At 42.6% G+C, this 24,486-nt stretch overlaps 1 protein-coding gene and 1 non-coding gene across 2 annotated transcripts, besides 3 other annotated features; both read right to left on the reverse strand.

Moving 5' to 3' along the window:
• Positions 8,310–8,913: an enhancer, noted in NCBI's record as "NANOG-H3K4me1 hESC enhancer chr5:174861879-174862482 (GRCh37/hg19 assembly coordinates)". NCBI's record gives its function as "activates a minimal SCP1, AML or CMV promoter by ChIP-STARR-seq in naive H9 embryonic stem cells {active_cell/tissue: H9 hESC(naive)}" and the evidence as "EXISTENCE:reporter gene assay evidence [ECO:0000049][PMID:30033119]".
• Positions 10,024–10,528: an enhancer, noted in NCBI's record as "OCT4-NANOG-H3K4me1 hESC enhancer chr5:174863593-174864097 (GRCh37/hg19 assembly coordinates)". NCBI's record gives its function as "activates a minimal SCP1, AML or CMV promoter by ChIP-STARR-seq in naive and primed H9 embryonic stem cells {active_cell/tissue: H9 hESC(naive and primed)}" and the evidence as "EXISTENCE:reporter gene assay evidence [ECO:0000049][PMID:30033119]".
• DRD1 (dopamine receptor D1) lies at positions 13,470–17,616 on the reverse strand. The gene is made up of 2 exons (NM_000794.5): positions 17,133–17,616; positions 13,470–17,016 (listed from the first exon to the last, which is right to left on the reverse strand). The coding sequence occupies exon 2, from the start codon at positions 16,531–16,533 to the stop codon at positions 15,193–15,195; it is 1,341 nt and encodes a 446-aa protein (NP_000785.1). The 5' UTR covers positions 16,534–17,016; positions 17,133–17,616; the 3' UTR covers positions 13,470–15,192.
• Positions 18,168–18,257: a silencer, noted in NCBI's record as "silent region_16643". NCBI's record gives its function as "represses an Ori minimal core promoter by ATAC-STARR-seq in GM12878 lymphoblastoid cells {active_cell/tissue: GM12878}" and the evidence as "EXISTENCE:reporter gene assay evidence [ECO:0000049][PMID:35858748]".
• Positions 24,250–24,352, reverse strand: LOC124901204 (small nucleolar RNA U13). Its single transcript, XR_007059168.1, has one exon. It is a non-coding gene; the product is annotated as a small nucleolar RNA U13 (small nucleolar RNA).
• Between the last annotated feature and the right edge of the window lie 134 nt (positions 24,353–24,486).

Here is a 24,486-nt window from a genome sequence, read left to right on the forward strand (position 1 = left end):
GCACAAAAATAGACCCACATACATGTAGTCAACTGATCTTTGAACAAGGACCTAAAGCAAGTTGCTTTTTGTGTTTTCAACAAATGATACTGGAATAATTGGATGTCTAGATGTAAACCAATGCACCTAGACACAGACCTCATACCTTACACAAAAATTAACTCAAAGTTGACCATAGAGCAGTGCGACATGGAAACCTTTAAAATATCTAGAAGAGGACCTGGCGTGGTGGCTCAAGCCTGTAATCTCAGAACTTTGGGAGACCAAGGCAGGAGGATTGCTTGAGCTCAGGAACTCAAGACCAGCCTGGGCAACATAATGAGATCTCATCTCTACTAAAAATAAAAAAAAAAATTAGCTGAGCCTAGTGGTGCGTACCTGTAGTCCCCGCTACTCAGGAGGCTGAGGCAGGAGGATTGCTTGAGCCTAGGAGTTTAAGGCTGCAGTAAGCTATACGCATGCCACTGCACTCCAGCCTGGGAGTACAGAGACCCTGTCTCAAAAAAAATTAAAATAAAATAAAATACTTATGAGAAAACACAGGAGAAAATCTCTATACCATTGGGTTTTGTGATATATTTCTAGATACAACAGCAAAAGCACAGTCCACAAAAGAAAATATTAATATGTTGTATTTTATTAAAATTTCAAACTTCTGCTTTGTGAAAGACACTATTAAGAGAATTAAAAGACAAGCCACAGACTGGGAGAAAATGTTCGTAAAACATATATTTAATTTTTAAAAATTGCATCCAAAATATACAAAGAACACTCAACAAGAAAACAATCCAGTGTTGGGCAAAAGATATGAAAAGACACCTCACCAGAGAAGGTATACAGATGACCAATAAGCCTAAGAACAGATGCTCAATATCACTTGTCATTAAGGAACTTCAAGTTAAAACAACAATGATATACTACTGCACACCTATTGAAATGGCTACTGTTTAAATGCCAATACAATTTGCTGGTGAGGGTGTGGAGAAGCAAGAACTCTTACTCATTGCCGGTGGGAATGCAAAACGGTATAGCCACTTTGGAAGATAATTTGGTGGGTTTTTACAAAACTAAACAGAAGCCCCATATGATCTGGAAACTACAAGCAGTCCTACATATTCACCCAACTGATTTTAAAAGTTGTATCTACACAAAAATCTGCATGCAAATATTGATAGCAGCTTTTTAAATAATCACCAATAACTGGAGGCAACCAAGTCGTACTTTATTTAATAGGGGAATGGATAAACTGTCCATCCATGCAATGGAATACCATTCACTGTCCATCCATACAATGGAATACCATTGAGCAATAAAAAGAAATGAGAAAGAGAAAGCTACACAGAGACATGGATGAATCTTAAATGCACATTGCTAAGTGAAAGAAGCAGTCTAAAGGCAATGCATACTGTATGAATTCATGTATATGACATTCTGGAAAAGGCAAAACTACACAAAGGGTAAACAGATCAGCGGTTGCTGTGGCTTGGCAGAAGGAAGGTTGAATAGGTAAAGCACAGGAGGTATTTTAGGGCAGTGAAACTACTCTACATGATATTATAATGCTGGATACATAGCATTAGGTATTTCTCAAATACCACAGAACTTTACAGCATAAACAGTGTACTTTAATGTATGGATTTTTTTAATCATTTGGGAGTTCAGCATATCCTAGGATGGAATGTAGACTATGACAAAATAATCTAACTATATTACAAATGTATGAAACAACCTTACTGAAGGGGGTAGAAGAAAAAAGGACTGACATTAAGTAGCTTTGGAAATGGTGGAGTCTGTAAGACAAAAGGCCTTAAGGAACTGCACATAAACATTGTACCTACACACTTGATAAAATTGATTCCCACAGGGATATGAGCTAACAACTCTGAAACCACTATACCTGTGTCATGGAATTGAACAACTAAAATTCAGTAATTGTCCATGCGTGCTTAATGTTTAGCTCCCACTTATAAGTGAGAACATGCGGTATTTGGTTTTCTGTTCCTGCATCAGTTTGCTGCGGGTTATGGCCTCCAACTCCATCCATGTTGCAGCAAAGGGCATGATTTTATTCTTTTTCATGGCTGCATAGTATTTCATGGTATATATGTACCACATTTTTTTAATCCAATCCACCACCATTGATGAGCACCTTGTTTGATTCCATGTCTTTGCTATTGTGAATAGTGCAGTGATGAACATATGAGTGCGTGTGTCTTTTTTGTATAATGATCTATATTCCTTTGGGCATATACTCAGTAATGGGGTTGCTGGGTTGAATGGTAGCACTGTTTTAAGCTCTTTGAGAAACGTCCAAATGACTTTTTCACAGTGGCTGAACTAGTGTACATTCCCACCAACAGTGTATACTTTGACACTGCAGACTACGAGAAAGGGAAGGGAGGGAGAGGGACATGGGTTGAAGAACTACCCATTAGGTATTATGCTCACTACCTGGGTCCAAAATACCCAAGTATCAATCCTACACATGTACCCCCATATCTAAAATAAAAGCTGAAATTAGAAAATAATAATAATAGCTGGGCGTGGTGGCTCATGCCTGTGATCCCAGCACTTTGGGAGGCCAAGGCAGGTGGATCATGAGGTCAGGAGATCGAGACCATCCTGGCTAATACAGTGAAACACTGTCTCTGCTAAAAATACAAAAAAAAAAAATTAGTCTGGTGTGGTGGTGGGCACCTGTAGTCCTGGCTATGCGGGAGGCTGAGGCATGAATGGTGTGAACCCAGGAGGCGGAGCTTGCAGTGAGCCGAGATAGCACCACTGCACTCCAGCCTGGGCGACAGAGCAAGACTGTATCTCAAAATAATAATATTAATAAATAAAATTCAGTAAATGGATGGAAAGTAGTTAGGATCCAGATTCCTCACTGTTAGAATGGGAGTTATTGACAAGCAAGGGGAGGAGGCTAGAATGACCCATGTGGTAATGGATTCAAGTTGGAGACGTCAGCAAGAACTCAAGTTTAACTTAGTATAGATACAAATGGTTACACATAAAAATATTTACATGTATGCACATGGGCTTGAAGATGCATACATTTATTTGCTCTATAAGCTAGGAAGACCTATAAGTAACAACACTCCAGTAGCAATGAGCACACCTAAGTACCCAGATCTTGGTTTCTAACACCATCCTCCAATAAAAGGAACCAGAGCTCCCTGGAGAGAGGACTGATTCTAGGGCTGGGGCAGGAAATATCCGAAATGAACCTGGAACATCTTATAGAGCCAGAAAGTAAGGAAGTGCAGAAAAAAAGAAAAAACCCACAATGATAGGAGTATGTCAAAGGGATCCAGGAGCCAACGACAGAGTTCCCAATGGCCAAAGGTGGAACGATCTGAGCAACAGAATAAAGTGGTATTGGATTATTACTCAAAGTCAAACGTAGGTTACATGAGCCATACCAACATAAATAAATAATTGACTACATAAACAAACAACCATGGAAGAATAGACACATCTCCTATGCAGAAGAATTCCAAATAATTCACATAGATAACCCCACCCCTAAGTGCAAACTGCACATAATGATGTTCTTCAAAAAAATATCATATGGAAAGTGGGGGTAACTTTACAGTGGAGAAACCTGATAAACACTATTTCAGCCAGGTGATCAAAGGTAATAAGTCATGTTGATAGTATACATCCTTGATATGATGTGATAAAAATGGCTCGGCAATCTTCCTTCCAAAACCCCATAACCTCAGTCTAATTATGAGAAAAGCAGACAAATCCCAACTTAGGGACAATCTACAAATGACCACTACTCCTCAAAACTGTCAAAGTCATCCAAATAAGAAAAATCTGAGAAACTGTCACAGCCAAGAGGACCCTGAGAATGTATGACTAAATGTAATGTGCTGTCCTGAATGGGATCCTGGAATGGAAAAAAAGACTTTAGGGGAAAACGAAAGAAATGTAAACAAGATATGGATTTTAATTAATAATATATCAATATTAGTTCACTGACACCATATTAGCGTAAGGTGTTACCAATAAGGGAAACTGGGTGTGGTGTCTATGGGAACTCTCCATACTACCCTTGCAGCTTTTCTGTAAATCTAAATCTATCCTATAATACAAACTTGCTTTTAGTTTTTGTTTGTTTTTTATTTTTTATTTTTTGAGACAGAGTCTCATTCTGTCGCCCAGGCTAAAGTCCAGTGCAATCTCCACTTCCTGGGTTCAAGCAATTTTCCTGCCTCAGCCTCCCGAGTAGCTGGGATTACAGGCACCTGCCATCATGCCTGGCTAATTGTTTTCTTTTGTATTTTTGTAGAAATGGGGTTTCACCATGTTGGCCAGGCTGGTCTCGAACTCCTGGCTTCAGGTGACCCGCCTGCCTCAGCCTCCCAAAGTGCTGGGATTACAGGCATGAGTCACCGCGCCTAGCCAAAACTTGCATTTAAAAAACGTAAACTGGTAGCCCATATTTCTTGACAAACCCCAAGCTCTCTCCTCCGCCAGCTCTCCTCTCCTCCTCCGTGCCCTCTCTCCCTCCCTCCATGCCCACCTCCTTCTCTGTTGAATTTGAAATCTCTATTAAATGCACATCAGTAGTTTAATAACTGTCAGGGAGAAAAACAAGAAAAATCAAGCTGACTGTTGACTCTTTATGCTCATTCCTGTGAATGTAGAGTGAGTGTGAGCAGAGGTCTCATGACATGCAAACTTAGTCTGGCCAAAGCAGTCGGCCACTCAGGAACTGATGCTCTAAGAAGAGGTCCGCAAAGACGTTCTCCTATACAAACTTGTGTTTGAAATCACTTAACCTCATTTACCAATCTCTGTCTACAATTGACTACATATTAGCAATGCTCCCTGATTGAGTATCTCACCTCTGAGGCCCCTCTGCATTTGACTCATTCTTCTAATCTTTTGCAGGTTATACAGTCTGATGCTTTACACTTAAATTTCTTCCTCCTTCTGAATACTCTTTCTGAGTATTCCTCCCTCAATACTGCCCTAAAAATTTGATCCTCAAACCTTGGATTTAGAACTTGAAGCCTTCATTGCTATTCTCTGGAAACATCTATAATTAGGAGCCTGTGGGAACATTTAACATAAAAATATCACAAAACATTTAATATCTATGTCAATGATGAGAAAAATAGAATTTGAAAACCTCCCAAAAGGTTAAACCTAAGAACAAACACTGGAGTGTTTTTCAGTTTCAAAATAATCAGAAGTGGTTGATGTCACGATGTAGACTGCTTTTTAGAAGAGGCTCTTAAACATTTGAGCAACAGCAACCAAGCTAGAAAACCTAGAGAATTCAATCGGGAAAATGGCAGTGGTCATTCCTGCTGTGTCCAGTAGCACCTGACATCTTTGCTCTCAAAACTTGGAGAAAATTCTTGCTGTGGTTTTTTTCAGAGCCAGGGTACTAGAAGTCTCCAGGGCTCTGAGCTTTTACCATTAATAAAATATCCAAAACTGACCTGAGGGGAAATGCATTGGCTCCAAAATATGACAAAAGGACTGCAAAATTAAAATTAAGAACAATTTCACAAACAACATCTAAAAATCCTTCTTTTTTGCAGCAAATATATATATGTATATATTTAAGAACGAGGTGGGAGCATTTTAATATGTTTGATCTGATTTGCAATGTGGCACCAAAAGTAAGCGTAGTTGAGGTCTATGAAGGTCTTAAAACAAGGCAGGCCCCTGCGAAGAGCCACTTTGTGTCAACTTCTAGGATTTCGGACCTGTTCCCACTAATGATCCCCAACCTGGAGTCCCCAAGGACCCCCTTGTGGGTGTGTTTCATCATTTCCCAAAAGCTGAACAGAGAAAATGATTGAACTTATAAGAAGGGCACACAGTGCATTATTTTCCAAATGAGATGCATTTCATCAGCATTATTGCAAATATGGACTCTGAGGAAGCTCAGTAAAAGGGTCCCTTTGTGTAAGACCTCCACGTAGTGGTGAAAGTCATGTCCTGGGGGAAAGGGCAAGGGCTGGGAGCAGGGCAGGCCCTGTAACCCTATGATCTGCACTGGTCAGCTGAGCCTCTACAAGCCAGGCCCCAGTCCCAGCCAGCCTCAGCCAAACTAGGCACTGATGATCAAGCCAGAGATGTGCACAGGTGAGCTCAGAAACACACACAGTGCTCAAGACTGTACCTTCTTTCAGGGACTCAGCACCCTCGTCCCAACCCCGCCAGCAAAGCAACCACAGCTGGAGCTCTTCCTGCCTAACACCCAGTCCAGCATGCTTCTCTAATAATTTTATTTTAATTAAACCTACGATACACGTAAACACAAGATTCTTGTAAAAAGCAAGAAATATACAAAGTAAAACGTTAAGGCCTCCCCGCCTTGGTTCTCCCCAAACCTCACTCTTCTCCTGAGAGATACCACAGAGGTGCACAGTCACGGGGTGGAGCTTACACTTGAGGACTGGGACTTACCTACATAAATTATTTGGAATTCTTCTGCATGGGAGATCTGTCTATGCACCCACATTTATTTATTTATTATTTGTTTCCATTATTCAGGTGGGTAGGCACTTTTCTACATCTTTTTCTATGTATTTACATTAAGAAATATATACTTCTTACACTTTTTGAAATAAAAGGAACTGTATTGCTTGACAACTTGTTTTTTCACTAATATGCTCTGAAAGTTCTTTCTTAACTATGCTTATGGATCTACCTTTCTTTTAAACTACCGCATACTAGCAACAATGTACATTTTAGTAATTCATTCCCCTCCTGCTGGACACTTGGGTTGTCTTCAGTTGACTTTCACAAGCAAGGCTGCAGTGTGCATCCTTTACACACACATCTCTGAGCACATAGGTGAGGAGGCATGCAAAAGAGATTCATGGAAGTGGGATTGCTGAGCCAAATTGTGTGCATGCTTTAAAGTTTGGTTGTCCTAGCCAAATCCCCCTTGCACTTGTCCATATCCATTTACGCTGCTATGAATAGAGCAGGAAAGTGTCTGTTTCTTGCCTCTAACCCAGAAGTTCTGCTAGTCAGTGGAACCTCATCCAAGTGTGACATTCTAAATGTCATGACCCTAGGAGCAAGCAATGTTATTAGTACCAATGAAAGCTTTCTAAAAATGGCATGCCAATTTGCTCTTGCCTTGAAGGTATTATGACCAGTCTTGTTAAACAAACTAGAACCCTCACCTTATTGCCCCTGGACTGGATCCTCTTTAATCCTCTCCTTTGCCAGTCAGGAACATACTGTTTTACAGCAAGTAAAAACCCACAGCTGTTTCAGCAGAATTAGTGTGGAGCACTGTCTCCCCTGACACCCCCCCTCAACCATTTAACAGTAAACAGCAGTGTGCATTAAAGAAGCATCTTACAAATGGGGCTGACCATTATCTTAATTACAGTCAACATGTTTATAATGCTAAATACATCTGTCCTAAAAACTCAATCTCAAAACAGCGTGCATGTGGCTAGATAATCTGGGAGCGCATTTGTGACATTCGGTTGACATTTCCTCTCTCTCCTGGGTAAAAGGGTTGATTGCCATCCAGGCACATCCCCATGAGAGAGAGCCCTAGTTTGCCATTTAAACACTATTTCAATTATTTTTCCTGTGATTGTGTCAGTGATGGAGAAACCTAATTTAGCAGAAAGGATCAGCCCTTATAAACTCAGCAGAGTCAATGCCACAACAAAAATTAAGGTTTGTGTATAATAAGCACCTACCCTAAACTTTTCATAAAGTTATCAATTCACTTATTCATCTAATGAACTAAAATATTAACTTGGATGGCTATTGCATGCCAGGCCATGCTGGGTGCTGGAATACAGTGTTGAAAAGGACACACTGAGCCCTCCAAGGGCTGCCTCACTCACTGGAGAGAACGGGAACCAAACAGCACACAGGACAAGACGGATGTCCTGCAAGGGGCTGTAGTCTGGAGGGAAGGATTCCAGCTCTGAGGCCTACACTTGAAATGAGTCTCAAACAGATGAGGACGACAAGGAGGAAGGGTGTCCCATTTGGAAGAAAAGCAAAGAGGTGCCACCAGTATGCCTTTGAGAGCAATGGGCAGATGAGCACAGCTGGAGAGAGTTTGCAGAAGGGAAGGGCATGCTCACACCCTGGGGCTATCGGGAAATCATCTGGTTAATTCTTCAGGTGACCAAGAAGGGGCTTCTGCAGAGGGTAGAGATCACCCCAAAGCCACTAATTTGGCAGCCTGTAAGTCCCCATTTGGATCAAACCTAATATATTTAAATTCGTCTCCACTTCACGGCCTATATCCAGAAAATCCATCTAGCACCCACTTCCCAGTCCCATGTTTTCAGGCGCTGGAGCTCCCACCCCAGCTCTCCTCATTCCCTGTCTCTTTCCACCTGTCAAAGCTCTGTCCGTCCTTCAAGCCCACCTCCAATGCCACTTCCTTCCCAGCCCTGTGCTCGGTTCCCATGCTCTGCCAGCAACACTCTCCCATCTTCCCCATCCTGCCTTTACCCTCTCATGTCCCTCTCCAAAAGCACCAGGCAAGTGTAGGTAAATGCTTGCTGAAATAAAGTGTACCCTGATTGAATTGATCTGCAAACATAGGAATGTTTCAGCCCTTGAGTAAGCCATCTCCCTGTTTTGTTATCTTTGAACTCCACAAGGCCGTGTTTTTGAAATTTAAATGTCTCAAACGTTTTCTTACACTCTACCCAAAGACAGAAGCTTCCTGTTGTCCTTGCTCACTTAATTCTTTCAAAGACCATCAACCTCAGTGTTGCTAATGTTCACAACTGGGTAATGTTCACAGCTCGTTCACAGTTTATAAAACCATTCTCTCTACTTTTTGTATATCCTTGAAAAATGTCAATAATAATAAGAATTTTTTAAGGCACAGTATTTGAGATATTTGGGACCCTCTTAGGAAGTCCTTGTTTGGTTAGGACTATTTCCTGGTAAACAGATTCTTGATTAAAACTATAGGCTTTCAAGTCAGAGAGCCTAAATTCAGAGCTGGCCCCATCATTTACCAGCTGTGTGACCTTGAACACATTACATGCCCTCTCTCAATATTAATTATGATCTGTAAGATAGCAATGATGATAATTGCGCCCACCTCGTAGGATAAGTATAAGAATGGAATGAAATAAGGAATGCATAGTGCTTGACACAATGCAGGGCATGTGGTTATCAAGGCTCGGTAAAATTGAATTAGTGGCATTACCTGGAAAAAAAAAACTCCTTCTCCTTACATCATACTTTCAAAACATTTTTTGGTGATGGTTTATTTGCATATGTGTCTTTCTCCTCTAAGACTAGTATGTGTATGCATATATGTACATGTATATGTATGTATATGTCTCTAAGTACCTATGCATATATATCATATATGATATGCATAGGTACTTAGAGACATATACATACATATACATGTACATATATGCATACACATACATATGTGTGTATATGTATATATATGATTCAATATATATATTATGCAATACATATATATGTGTATATATATTATGCAATATATATATATAATTGCAATATATATATATATATGCAATTACCTCTATACAACCATGTCACTCTAGGGAACTGCAAGCCTCAGAAATCATGTGGAAGTTGTACCCAAAGACTTTAGAGAAAGCCTAGCAGACTTACACAAATACATCAAGCACCCAGAAATAAACTTCACTGAAATTGTGACTCCAGCATTCCTTACTTTGACTTGTTCATTCTTTCATTCATTTAACAAAGACTTAATAAGCAACTCCTATAAGCCAGGCAGTGTGTCAGAGGCTTAGGAATATACAAAGAGAAGAGGGAAAAAATAAAATAGCTTTTGCCCTCATATGCACATAATTTAGGGAAAATAATAAGGAAGTAAGGAGATCACTTCATGACAATGTGGTAAGCCCTTGGGAAGAAATTAGGGAGTAGAGCTGGGAAGAAGGCGTCAAGGAAGAATTCTGACGTTGATGCCTGACTGAGTCAGAGTGGACAGACAGAGGCAACAGGGAAGGGCGCCCCAGGTCAGGGAGCGGCAAGCACAGAGGCCTAAGGACAGGAAAGGACTCCACAAACTGGACGAAGCTCACAATGCCTGCAGGGTGGTGCCGCTGGGGTGGTAGCAATAGACGAGGCTGCAGAGGCCACCAGAGGCAGGATCATGAAAGGCCCTGAATGAACTTTATTTTTTTACTAAAAGTAATCAGGAGCCATCGAAGAATGTTAAGCAATGGCATAGCCATCAAATTTGCATTTTGTAAATATCCCTCTGTTAGCTTTCTGAAAGCAAAGAGAATGGGCACTTGAGAAACACAGCGGGGGAACTATCAGAGTCATATTTTGCCTATAATAGATTTTATACCTCCTACTTCTTTTCTTTTCTTTCCTTTTTTTTTTTTGAGACGGAGTCTTGCTCTGTCACCCAGGTTGGAGTGCAGTGGCCAATCTCGGCTCACTGCAACCTCTGCTTCCCAGGTTCAAACGATTCTCCTGCCTCAGCCTCCCGAGTAGCTGGGACTACAGGCATGCACCACCACGCCCGGCTAATTTTTTGTATTTTTAGTAGAGACAGGGTTTCACGGTGTTAGCCATATATCTCCTATTTCTAAGCCAGAAAATATCTTAGAAAGCATCTTATCTAACCTCCTTGTTGTAGAGACCAAACCCCCACCTTATTTTCAAGGGATGTAAAGCAGCCTGTCCATTTTTTTTTTAAATGAAATGGAACATCTTGCCCTACAATTCAGCCTTCCTAGGTCCCACCACCACTACCATTTTGCTAGCATTTCTGCCAGTGGAAGCATAAGAAGTAGTATCACTTCTGAGTACACAGCTCAGGGTAGACCCTTTTCAATGGCTGAAAACATTTACCCATTTTGAAAGCTGGTAGAGTCTGTATTCTATGAGCATGAGAAAAATTCCAACTGGCTTTGTATATTTTCTCATAGTGATTAGAAAGTTAAACCCTTTTAAATCAGAGATTATTCTTGAGCTTCTAATACTATTTAAATTACAACTCCCAAATCTTGAATGATGTAACAGACTAAAGTCCAAATGCTGCTTTTTAAATTCTGTGCATCACACGGAAGTTACTTAACGTGACAGAAGGCAACATAGATTGGCCTGCTAACAAAATCCTGGAGGTTTTGTCTGTGCTAGAATGCTCACCATCTTCTCAATCCTCCATAAAATAAACAGGTTGATTTGTCATCGTTCATATCCAGGAAGTCTCAAACATATCCATAGAGTTGCATCTTACCTATATAGTACTACAATTTCATAGCCCAGAGGGCTCAATCCTTCTCATGACCGAAGTAACCAGATCGTGCAAAGCAGTAAGTCCTAAATTTAACAGCCGGCAGGCCATCAACTGATTTATTACTCCTGAAACAAATTCTACAAGATAAAGACATTTTAAGAAGAAAATGTTGTGGATAGATTTATTCAATCAGTATCTAGTGGTAACTTAAAGCAATTTTCTTAACCACGCAGATATAAAAAGCCACTTGCTTTTGGAATACCAGATAACCACAGCAAAAGACAATAGTGTCTGGGAAAATCCCAAACCACCTGTACTCTGAAAGTCATTTCCATTTGCTTTAAGCAAACATGCAACAAATCAAGTATATAGCAAATCCATTATTACTAATGCAACAAATATTGTGATTAACCCCTTCAGAATAGAGATCTTGCAAAGAATCAGTGAGCACTTCTCAGTGCTCAGAGCTCTTATAGGCATTAACTTCATTTTAACCCTCCCAAGAACCTGCATATTTATTTCCATTTCACAAATGGGCAAACAGGCTGAGAGGCAAAGGCATAGGGCTATGCTCACACAGGTAGTTGCAATTCCTATCTGAAATGTCAGCCCTCCCCTGCCTGAAACAAAGCCTGAGCTTTTTTGCATTCCAGGCCCTCAACTGTGGGCTGGCTCTGGGGGAAAGAGTGGCTGAAATGCTGCTGGTGCAGGCCTGGAGATAAATCATGATGGAGCCCCCAGAGAGTGGAGAGTTCAGAAAGTCACTGAAGTTAGACTACATATCAATTTGCTTTGGGGGGCAACACCCCCAATGAGAAAGTTAATGCAGAGGTTTTGCTCCTCCCATTTAATGGATCAGGATAACTGAGGCTCAGAAAGCATGACTTGCTCAGATGCCAAGAGAAACCAGTCACTTTCCTGAATGAAACCTACCCTACGCATTGAAGCCCGGTGCTCAGTCCCCACTTCCACAAAACTTCCTGCTGTGTCAGTTACCAATAAGAGCTGTGTATCTAGTTGATTAGGAAAGATGTCTTCTTGGACGGAGAGGGGAAAAAAGCACCTCTTTCAAGTTGTCTTAATCTTGGTAAAGTGTTTCACATATATTTAGCATTATTAAGGCTCACCAATACAGTTAAAAATGAAGTGAAAGTCATCTTGTAATTTCGCTTTTATAATTATAAATCAAATTCTCCGAAAGGTTCTTTGAGTAAAATTAACATTTCGTAAGATGCCCTTTATCAATCCAATATGCCAGGAATCCAAAGTAGTCTCATTGAAGGTGTATTGAATTTTATAATTATTGAACATAATTTCTAGACATATCATTCATTTGCACTCTTTTGCCAAGGAGATAAATGGTAAAGGCTCATATTTCATGGGTTTGACAATTCTGCCTGAGCATTGTAGCTTGTGTTGCTGAGCTTCTAATTTAAGAACAAAATTAGGCTTCAAAGAAAAAAGATATCCATAAAGTTATGAAACAGAAAGAAAAAGCATCATGCTTTTTGGGTGCTCATTCTAGGTATGTTCATTATATGCCAAAGCCCAGAGAAGGCAAATACAGAATTTAAAAAGACACCATCTGTTATGTGATGTTCCAAATTGTAAACTTAACCCTTAATTTCTATGTCACCTGCTGTTCCGCTGTTCTCTTTCCTCAGTACAGGGGGAGAAAAATGGCTTAGCATATTAACTGAGTAGCTTTGGCAGGACCTACGGATGTGCCTCATAAGACGTTTTGATAAGCTCAGCATCACAACCTGTATATTTTCTCCAGAAAAAAAAATTGTTATATTTTACTTTTAAAACAACCATCACATGTACAGTGGTTGCCATCAGCTGAGAGGCTACAACAACCCAACCCAATAGCAAGCCATGGTCTTTTCTGAAATTTTTATTTTCTTTAAAATAGGCTTTTTGAAAGAAAAAGCAGAGATTTTAGAAAGTTTTAAAATCTGTGAAATGAAAAGTAAAATAATTCCTCAAGTAATTCCTTTTTTCAAAAAAAAATTATGAAGACAGAAGGAAAAATAGCACATAGCCCAAATCAGAAAACATTTTCACTTTAAATATTCGAAGGCAACATGTGCCATACATAACTGAAGAAACTTCCATTAAAGAAAAAAAAAGTAATATATACTTGAAAATGCCTGTGTTTTCTTCCTTGTAGATCTGAAATGTTCTAGTTTTAAAAACACATTTAGCAAATGCAACACAGCTCATTCAGGGTTGATTTGAGTTCACAAAATATTTTTATTATGTGTAAGAAAGCATACAGCCAATAAAATTAAGAAAACATTCACAATACATAAATAACACAGACCTGATGCAGGAGATATTTTTCAGATTTTTTTTTCTTTTCACGGATTGCATCTAAATGTTAAGTTCATTGCTTATCAAGAAGAATACGTTGTAAACATTTCAAAGAAACTCTGTTGAAATGCCCCACGAGTTGGCATCTGGCAAGGGAGGCTTATGATACTTTTTACAGTCCGGGTGATGATGCAGGAACCTGATTCCAAAGCACAGAGAAAGGACTAGCATTTGTCAAAAGAGATGCTGATGGCTTTGGGGGAGCTCAACACACCCAAAGGGAAGGATTCTTCTGTTTCTCCCATCAACAGAAGTATCTGACTCAAGAATGATAATGAGGCACTATTCGTTAGTTAGTATACCATTAACATTTAAAGACTCCTTTAAAAATCAGCTCTAAATTCAGATTAAAGCACTATAAAAAGTAGCCCCACTGACTGGTTTGGTTTGACCTGGTAAGATGGAAATGCAGGGTTTGAGTTTGGTCCCTCAGTGGGGCTGCTGTAACCCACTGTCTGTGCTACAGATCTCTCTCCAGGAAAGCCATTTGTGTGGTTCAGAAAAACTACCTGACACATGAAATGAGAAAAGATGGAGAGGGCCAATTATTTTACATAAATACAAAGCAGCATATACTTTTCATTACCACCTAAGATCGTAAATTTAATGCTGGGCTCTTCTTAAGTTGGCTTTTATTTAAGATATTTACAGAACTGCAAATTCCCCTGGGAAAGTCATTTGTCATTTAAAACGTTTTGAACACAGTAGTAGCTATACTTTTTTAAATTTTTCAAAATCTTTTCAGAAAAAGAAAGCATTTATAGCATTTGTCAATTCTCACCTTGCATTTATCTGTGTCCATGAATTTTAAGGAATCATTTCAACTTTATTCCCTTATCTATCAGTTTCTGCTGTGTTTCTAGAAGTTACACATGAACATTTAGAATCTCACAGAGTCTGTGTGTTTGCTTCATTGGCTTATAAAGTGCTAGTTAAATGGCCAGAAATGTGGTTGTAAGGTCTTGGATAAAACTCATTAATTTATCCTATTAAATATGATAAATATATATTTATTATATCATAAATTAAAAATATCCATATATACAATAAATAAATAGAACCAATATCAACAAAACATCTCTCAATTCTGGAAAAAAATTTCTCACTCCTACTGTAAGCCTCAATTAATGTTTTAGAAATAATTTATGAAGGCATGCACCTACCTTTACAATCTGAAAACTTTGCTGGGAACAGTGTTAGCACCTGTTTGTATACAGCAAACTCAACCCATCTCATTTTCTTCCCAGAAAAATTTGATTTTAAGTGAAGCTGTTCACTGTTGATTCTTTGCCCTATTTGGTAAATCCTAAGATAAGAATAAATTTCTAAAAACAATTCTGAAGCCAAAGACATGTCCCTTATGGCTCCCCATGTTTGTAGTGTCCCTGTTTGATTGACTATGAACAACACAGAAAATACACTGGAATGTATTTGGAAACGGAGTTAATTGTGTGTTGGAAAGCAGCAGAGGGCTCTCCTGACACCTCAGAGTCTCACCGTACCTTAGTTTCTTAATAGCAAGCCCCAGAGCAATCTCCTCTAGCTTTTGGGATGAGCATGTGTGGCAGGATTCATCTGCGAGTTCAGGTTGGGTGCTGACCGTTTTGTGTGATGGGTTGGATCTTCTCCAGAGAGACGTCAGTGTCATAGTCCAATATGACTGATAGGGCTGGGGACAGCTTCTCCAAGGGTCTGGCGATGCCAGCTGCCTCCTCCTTTTTCAGGTCCTCAGAGGAGCCCACAGCATGTGGGATCAGGTAAACCAGATTGCACTCCTTGGAGATGGAGCCTCGTGGCTCATGATGGCTGGAAAACATCGCGGCCCCATTGTTATTGATACTCACCGTCTCTATGGCATTATTCGTCGCAGGGCAAAGTCTGTAGCATCCTAAGAGGGTTGAAAATGCCTTCCGAAAATCAGCATTAAAGGCATAAATGATGGGGTTCAAGGATGAATTAGCCCACCCAAACCACACAAACACGTCAAAGGTGTTGGAATCAATGCAGAAGGGCTGCGTCTCCCCAGACCCACAGAAGGGCAAAATGCAGTTCAAGATGAAGAAAGGTAGCCAACAGCACACAAACACACCCATGATCACCGACAGAGTCTTCAGGACTTTAGTTTCTCTTTTGAAGGACATCTTAAAAGAACTTTCCGGTTGAGAACATTCGACAGGCTTTCCATTACCTGTGGTGGTCTGGCAATTCTTGGCGTGGACTGCTGCCCTCTCCAAGGCCGCAATGCGCCGTATTTGTTTCTGAGCAATCCTGTAGATCCTGGTGTAGGTGACAATCATGATGGCCACAGGGATGTAAAAGCTTATTACAGAGGATGAGATGGCATATGTCCTGCTGAGGCTGGAGTCACAGTTGTCTATGGTCTCAGCCAGGGAAGTGGCATTTCCATCAGAGGGGCTTGTGGGTTTTGCCTTGTGCCAGCTGAGCTGCACTGGGATGAAGGAGATGAGTACAGACAAGGTCCATGCCACACTGATCAGGATGAAGGCTGCCTTGGGGGTCATCTTTCTCTCATACCGGAAAGGGCTGGAGATAGCCCAATACCTGTCCACGCTGATCACACAGAGGTTGAGGATGGATGCAGTGGAGCACATGATGTCAAAGGCCACCCAGATGTTACAGAAGGACCCAAAGGGCCAGAAGCCAGCAATCTCAGCCACTGCCTTCCAGGGCATGACCAGGACGGCCACCAAGAGATCTGACACAGCCAAGGAGATGACAAAGAAGTTGGTCACCTTGGACCGCAGGTGTCGGAACCTGATAACGGCAGCACAGACCAGCGTGTTCCCCAGGAGCGTGGACAGGATGAGCAGCGACAGGAAACAGGCAGTGAGGATACGAACAGAGAAGTCCCTCTCCACCACCAGCCCAGTCCCGTCCATGGCAGAGGTGTTCAGAGTCCTCATCTTCCTAAGAGAAAGCACATCAGGGGCTCTGACACCCCTCAAGTTCCCAAGCAGGGAATAGGGGTCAGTCAGATTTCCAGGAGTCCTCCCCACCAGGCAGCACTTTGCACAGCCAGATTGCTTCCCTGGCAGAGGGCCTCACCAACATTCCATGAGAGGACCGCTTGAGTGGCAATCCAAGTCAATCCCGTGGATGGTCACTCTTGATTTCTACATCTGTCTTCTGACTCCCTTGCTGCAGGTCACTGTCTTGGGCACCAGAAAGCCCCTGAATTCCCCAAATAAAGCACTGGCTTTTTAGCATATTCTAAATCATCAATCCAGTGACTCCTGGGCCTCTGCTCTGCTAGTCAGTTGCAATCACATTTCGGGGCTGTTGCTTTTCTGGTGGTGACAGGAGATTCTCCCCTTCTGAGACTCAGCTGAAAATACATGTCTTCTCGCTCCTCCAAGCCCCTGGCTCCTCAGCAGCTCTCCAAACGCCTTAAAAAGCAAAAGGAAAACACACGGTCTTTCTCCAAGACTTAAGCAGATGGCATCATTACTCACGTCAAGCCCAACCTAATAATTCCCAGGGCGAGCCCGTCCGAGCCACCTACCTTGCCTTGGGGTCGTCTCTCTCAAAGCCCCTGGAGCTTGGAATGTGGACTTCGCTGGGGGCAGCGGCTCCGAAACGTTGAGGAAGCGCGCCTGAGCCCAGCCAGCTGCGCGCAGCAGGGGTTCGGCTCCCGGTGCGCAAAAATCGCCGGGGTGCGTTTGGGGAAAGGATCCCAGGCCAGGTCCCAAGAGAGGCGGCGGCAGCCCACTTCCTTGAAGAGCTGGAGATTGTTCAAAGGGCACTAGACCCCGGCTAAGGGCTCCTGGGCGCTCGGAGCTTCCTTGGGAGAGAGCACTCCCAGGACTGGTCACCTGGGCAGCTTCTTTTCTTGGCTTCCTTTCGAGAGCCCAGAGCCTTGGCGAACCTCGGGCGGCCTTCAGCCCTACAGAGCAGGGCCCCGCGCCTCCCCGCAGGCACTGCCCGCGACCTCTCAGGAGCCTGTGGCAATGCGAGGCAGCGAGCCGAGCTGGCACCAGCAAGCGCACAGGCCGGCGGGGTTCCCGCGGGGCACAGCCCACCCCGCCCGCGCGTCCCCTCCCCTGCCCTGGGGGCGGTCCTCGCTTGACAGGCAGAGTTGCGGGCGACAGCCGCACGTGGTCCCCCTGGATGGTTCTGCGGGCGAGGTGGGCGGAGGACGCCCCGGTGAGTGCTTGCCCTCCCTGGTTACCTCGCCAGTCTCCGGATCCCCGCGCAGCACGCGCAGGGCCCGCGAGGCAAATCCAATGTCAGAACCTCAAGTAAGCTTGAGTCCCCTGAAAGCAAAGCTCAGCCCCGACATCCAGCGCCTCTTGGGGTCAACCCCTAGCCGGACCCAAAGCCCTAAGCGAGCGGGAGCACCCCCCATTCCCCGCACACCAACTCCTAGAACGGCCGGCGGACGTCCGACCTGCGTTGTCTCCAAGTGTCCCCTAACTAGGGTTGGAGATGCCCGTGGGCGCCTGTACTCACCGCTCGCAGGGAGGGCGCGGCGCAGCTGGGATCCGGGCCAGCGCGCGCCGCTGCGCCCCGAGGGGACTCACTCCTTCCCCGCCCAGGTGGCGGGCGCGTCCCGGCTGCGGTCAACGCCGGACTCCAGCCGGTGCCCCGCACCTCCCGAGCGCCCCAACCCCAGCGCCGCGCGCTCCGTGTGCCCGGGGCGCCCTCTGCCGGCGGCTGCGACTTCCCGAGCGCCCGCTGTGCCCTCGCGGGCACCAACCTCACTCACAAGGGTTCCAGCGACCGCCAGGGACCCGCGCCCCGACTCGCTCTTCCCGGTCCATGACTGCCAGAACCTGAAAACAGGGAAGCGGAATCTTCTCCACTCAGGACTCCTCCGCTTGAAACACCCTGAAAAACGGACAAGGGTGAAAAATTTTACTTTGCTGGCATTGCATTCGTGAATCTATGTTTCCTCCTGCGCGCCCACTGCGTTCAAACCTGGGGCGCTAGAGCAGGCGAGACGCAAGCCTTACTCTCAAAGAGAACGGCAGAGCGGGCATTGACTCAGCAGCATCCGTGTTCCCCGGTGCACGCCTTACGTTGTTCCCCCGTTAAAAGAATCTTTCCCCGCCAGGCCGGCTCAACCCGCTTCGCCCAGGTGGAAATGCGGCTCGGAAAGGTAGTGGGGCCTGCTCAAAGTCACACAGCTCACGCGGGAGCCGCGCCGCTGCCCACCTGTTCTTTTAACTCACCGCATGTGGTACAGGAGCCCACAAACTGGAAAATTACCTACAGGGCTAAAATACAGGGAAGAGTCATATGGAGGCAGCGGGGCCTGGTGGAGAAGGAGCCCCCAGCCTCCCCTGGTTGCCCCAGGCAAGCTCACAGGTGAGACTTTGCACTAATTGTGCATAAATTGCGACACTGTGGTGCCTTCCTGTGCCTTCCGAAAGGTGGGAGGAGAATAAGCATGGATCCCCCAAGTCACACTGCCTGACTTCCTGGTCCTGCCCTGCCACTGTCGGCTGCATGTGCACTCTCTCCTCTCTGAGCTCGGGTTCTTCCTCTGTGAAACGGTGAGGACATAACAGGATTGTCATAACTATTAACTGAGACGGTGTTTCCAGAGGGCTTGGCACCAAACCTAGGACCCCGTCAGCCCTCCATAGGCAGGAACCCCTGGGACCCATTAACAAACCAACAGTCCAGGCCAAGCGCGGTGGCTCACGCCTGTAATCCCAGCACTTTGGGAGGCCGAGGAGGGCGGATCATGAGGTCAGGAGATCGAGACCATCCTGGCTAAAACGGCAAAAATACAAAACAAAATTAGCCGGGCGTGGTGGCAGGCACCTGTAGTCCCAGCTACTCGGGAGGCTGAGGCAGGAGAATGGCGTGAACCCGGTAGACGGAGCTTGCAGTGAGCCGAGATCGCGCCACTGCACCCCAGCCTGGGCGACAGAGCGAGACCCCGTCTCAAAAAAAAAAAAAAAAAAAAACTAACAGTCCAATCTCCACAACAGCCATGCACCATATCAGAAGCAAGAATTTTCTCTGGGAAAAAAAAAAAAAACCCTAAACCAAAGTAATAATTCCATTTAGTTCGCCAGCACAAACTGTACTTTGGTTGTTTGTTTATTTAGAGACAGAGTCTTGCTCTGTCGCCCAGGCTGGAGTGTAATGGTGCTATCTTAGCTCACTGCAACCTCCGTCTCCAGGGTTCAAGCGCTTCTCCTGCCTCAGCCGCCCAAGTAGCTGGGATTACAGATGTCTGCCACCACATCCGGCTAATTTTTTGTATTTTTAGTAGAGATGGGGTTTCACCATGTTGGCCAGCCTGGTCTTGAACTCCTGACCTCAGGTGATCCACCGGCCTTGGCCTCCCCAAGTGCTGGGATTACAAGCGTGAGCCATCGCGCCCGGCCTTTGGCACCTTGGCTTAAGATGAAAGGACCATATTGCTGGCACAGACCCTCCGGTGCCTGTGCTTACAGCTGTCTCCTCCCACCCATGGCCTCGCCGTCACACACAGCGTCCAACAGACTGGGGGTCAGAGACGCAATTGTTGCCACACACATTCCCCAAGAACTGCATTTCTGTAGAGCCCTAAGTCACGCTTAACGTAACACTTTCAGATCACTTTCCCCAAGGCCGTCATTCTCCAAACTTCTTGACTTTGTTTCATTTTCTTTCTTTCCCTTTTACTAATAAACACAAATTAAAGATATGTTTCTGGTTCGAGACTTGTCATGTAAGCCTGAGCATTTAACTCCTGACATTCTACCCTGGCATCTGCAATTTTCCACTGAAACTACCCAGAAATAAAATAGGTAGGAGAAATTCAGCATTAACCTTGGAAAGCAGGAACGGGTAGGATCCTGATCTGTGGGATAATGAGCCAGTGGAATTGGACTGGGCAAAGCAGGACTCCATAGGAATATTCCATATGGCAAGAAAATGTACTTCAGGAAGTAACCTCAAAAGAACACACTACCTGCCCTGCCACCCCAAAATCGAGATAGCAGACTCTGGAGGTAAGGATAAGGCCAATTTGAGGGATAAAATTTCTGTCTAATGACTGCCTTTCAGAAGTGCCCCCAATTCCCAAGTCTTCTCAGAGCCAACAACAATGCCACTGCTCTTGTAATTAAAAAACAAGGATGACAAACACAGCACAACACCTGGGCTTCAGGTGGTATCATGCTCAAGAAAACAGCAGTTTAACAGTGGGAAAATATTTGACACAACATTTAAATATTAATCAAAATTTTGTTCAAAGGAACATTCATAACATACTTCATATTCTCATTTCTCTCAAGCCCACCAGCTGCTCAAAAAACCTTTTTGTTTTGCTTGAAAAATCACCTAAATTATTTCAAACTAGCCCATACTGACCTTTATCTTTTTCTCTCAACCCATTTATCTGACAAGTCCAGGTGATCAAATCAACACATACCATTTTGGTAGTGATTGAGAGCTATTTCTTGACCACAAGTAAATTTCTGTCATTTCAATATTAAATCTCCTCCCTACCCATATGCTATGGTTTGAATGTCTCTGCCAAAACTCATGTTGAAATTTAATTGCCATTGTGACAGGATTAAGAGTTGGGACCTTTAAGAGGTGATTAGGCCAAAGGGTTCTGCCCTCCTGGGTGGACTAATGCCATTATCTCGTTATCTCTGGAGTGGGTTAGTTACTGCTGGAGAGAGCTCCTGATAAAAGGATAAGTTCAGCCTCCATTCCCTCCCTGCCTCTTGTGTAGTCTCTTCTTCTGCCAAGTTATGATGCCACCCCACGATCTGAGACTTCCCAGCCTCCAGGAACTATGAGCCAAATAAACTTACATTGTTTATAATTTACCCAGTTGGTGGTATTCTGTTACAGTAGCAGAAAACAGACTAGACATCATAACATACAAAAAAGGCTCAGAAACCCAGCCAGCAAAGCAAAAACGACTAACAGGTAGAGAAGGAGAGAACCTGAGAATAACCAAGGAGGTGATTTTGTTTAAGATCACCAGGAAAACCAGAGGGTTGGACCAGTTTGTCTATCATTCTATAACTCACTGCCTGAGATTCCTTCCTAACAGACATAGGTCACTGGCTTTTGAACGTCATTGCTGAGAGAACAGGAAAGAGTAAAATGGAGCTGAAATCTCAGTGTTTCACTTTGCACAGAGTGTGAATTTCAGAGGAACTTACAGTTTTGCTAGAGGTTTGGAGTTTTTCCTATTTTCTTATTTGAAGCTACGGTGAAACAAAGCCTTCTATTTTGTTCTATAAAAATCTCCCCCACAAACCTCAAGAACACAAATGTAAATGCAATCAGGTATTAGATCATGCTGAGAATGTAAACCCAACACAAAAGCACCTTTGTTTCCCAATTTAGTGTGTCTTTTAAGCTCTACTGTGGGTGATTTATGCACTGCGAAGAGGAGGATGTCAAAATGATGCTTTTCAACAAATCTTTATTTGGAGTATATAAAAGTCAGTGAATACAGAAGGCACACTATCAAAGGGAAGCTTAATCTCATAAAAGACTAAATAAAGCAACAGAACGGTCAAGTATATCAAATGATGTATTTAAGACTCTTTGGGATTATTAAAGCGGACTTTATACACAAAATGATTAGCTTACGATGTTAGTGAAAAGAAGATAAAGTTTGGCCGACCTGACTAAGTAACTAGAATGCATGTTTCAGACAATAAATGTAACTTTTCTGAAATTCCTAATCCCATGTCATATTTTCCCCTCCTATAGTTATACAATTCAAAAATCAACACTTTAAAATTTCAAAATCAATATATATCAGTTTCTGCAGTGGTTGGTGGGTAGTGTAACATGCATAATGTGTTTTCTATTGTTGCACCTGCTCTTCGTTCCGTTTTTCCCCTCTTTTCTGCCTTTTATAGGCTTAACTGAGTAGTTTTTATAATTCCGTTTCATCTTTTTTATTGGCTAATTTTCTATATTTTTTGTTATTTTCATGGTTGCTTTAGAGTTTATATCATTTCTCTGTCTATATATATATATACACACACATACACATATATATATTTTACAATATACATATGTAATATTTTTCAAAGCCTGCATTCAAGTGATATTATATCATTCCATATATCATTAAGAACACTACAATAGTATTCTTCCAAGTCTTCTTAAATGGTCAATTTTCTTTTAAAGAACTCTAAGTAATAAGAAATAAATACTATATGTTTCCCATGTGCCATTTCTGATGTTCTTCCTTTTTATATAGATCCCTATCGCCATCTGGGATCAACTTTCTGCTAGAAGGACTACCTTTAACATTTCCTGAAGTGCAGGGCTGCTGGTGGTTGATTTTCTTCAGCTTTTATATCTCTAAAAAGTATCCATTTTGCTTTCATTCTTGAAAGATATTTTTGCTAGATATAGAATTCTAGATGGACAGATTTTTCATTTTAATGGTTTCAGATGTTGATCTGCTATCTTCTTATTTATATTGTTTCCAACAAAATATCTGCCATCACCCTTATCTTTGTCCTTCTCTACATAGCATGTCTTTCTTTCCTCTGGCTATTAAGATTTTTCTTTTCTTTATCACTGGTTTTGGGCAATTTGATCAAGATCTACCTCAGAGTAGTTTTCTTCAAATCTTTAGCACGTTTGGGATTTGTTGAGTTTTTCTAATCTGTAGGCTTACAGTTTTTGTCAAATTTCGAAAACTTTGGTCATTATTCCTTAATTTTGTTTTGTTTTGTTTTGTTTTGTTTTGTTTTGTTTTGTTTTGTTTTTTTGAGACAGAGTCTCACTCTGTCATTCAGGCTAGAGTGCAGTGGCACAATCTCTGCTCACTGCAATGTTGGCCTCCTGGGCTCAAGTGATTCTTCTGCCCCAGCCTCCTGAGTAGCTGGGATTACAGGTGCACACCACCATGCCCAGCTAATTTTTGTATTTTTAGTAAAGATGGGGTTTCAGCAGGTTGGCCAGGCTGGTCTCGAATTCCTAACCTCAAGTGATCTGCCCACTTTGGCCTACCAAACTGTTGGGATTACCGGCGTGAGCCACTGCACCTGGTCTAAATATTTTTTTTGAATTTTTCCCCTTTTATTCTCTTCTTTGGGTTCTTCAAATGCATGGACTGCTTGCAGTTGGCCTCCAACTCACTGAAGCAAGTTCTCTCCTCCTTACTCTCTTTTCCCTCGGTATTACATTTTGGATAGTTTCTATTGTTATATTTTTGAGTCAACTAACATTTTTCTTCTGCAAGGTCTAATGTGTTGTCAGATCTCATTCTGTGTATTTTTCATTTCACATTTTGTAGTTTTCTTCTCTGAAAGTTCATTTTATGTCTTTTTTAAATTTCCTGTGTATCTACTTAAGTTTCTGAATATATGAAATATGGTTATAATAACTATTTTAATGTCCTTCTTTGCTAAGTCTAACCTCTGTGTCCATTCAATTGATTTTTCTCTTCATTATGGGTCATATTTGTCTAATTCTTTTCATGCCTGCTAATTTTTTTGGATGCCCTACATTGCAAATTTTATCTAGTTGGTGCTAGCCTTTTTTATTCTTAAAAATATTCTTGCGCTTTGCTCTAGAACGTAATTAAGTTATTTGGAAATAATGTGATCCTTCAGTTCTTGCTTTTTTTCTTTTTCTTTCTTTTTTCCCCTCTTTTTTCTTTTGTTCTTTTTTTCCCCTTTTTTTCCTCACATCAGATGAGTGACGTGCTGACACTGTAACAAGGTTTAAGGCAGCACATCACACACATAAGCATGAAAACCCAATCATCATGCTTATGAACCACAAAAGGATTCAGGTATTGCTTTTAAGAGGTGCTAGGTAGAACCAGAGCAGAGTTTAATCTGGGGTTATTTATTTTGTGTTACGGAAGCAAGATTCTTTTTCAGTGTATCTGGCTGGTGGTGGCAAACCCTGTTCATGGCCCT

This window comes from Homo sapiens, chromosome 5, assembly GCF_000001405.40.
Source record: "Homo sapiens chromosome 5, GRCh38.p14 Primary Assembly".
Classification (NCBI taxonomy): domain Eukaryota; kingdom Metazoa; phylum Chordata; class Mammalia; order Primates; family Hominidae; genus Homo; species Homo sapiens.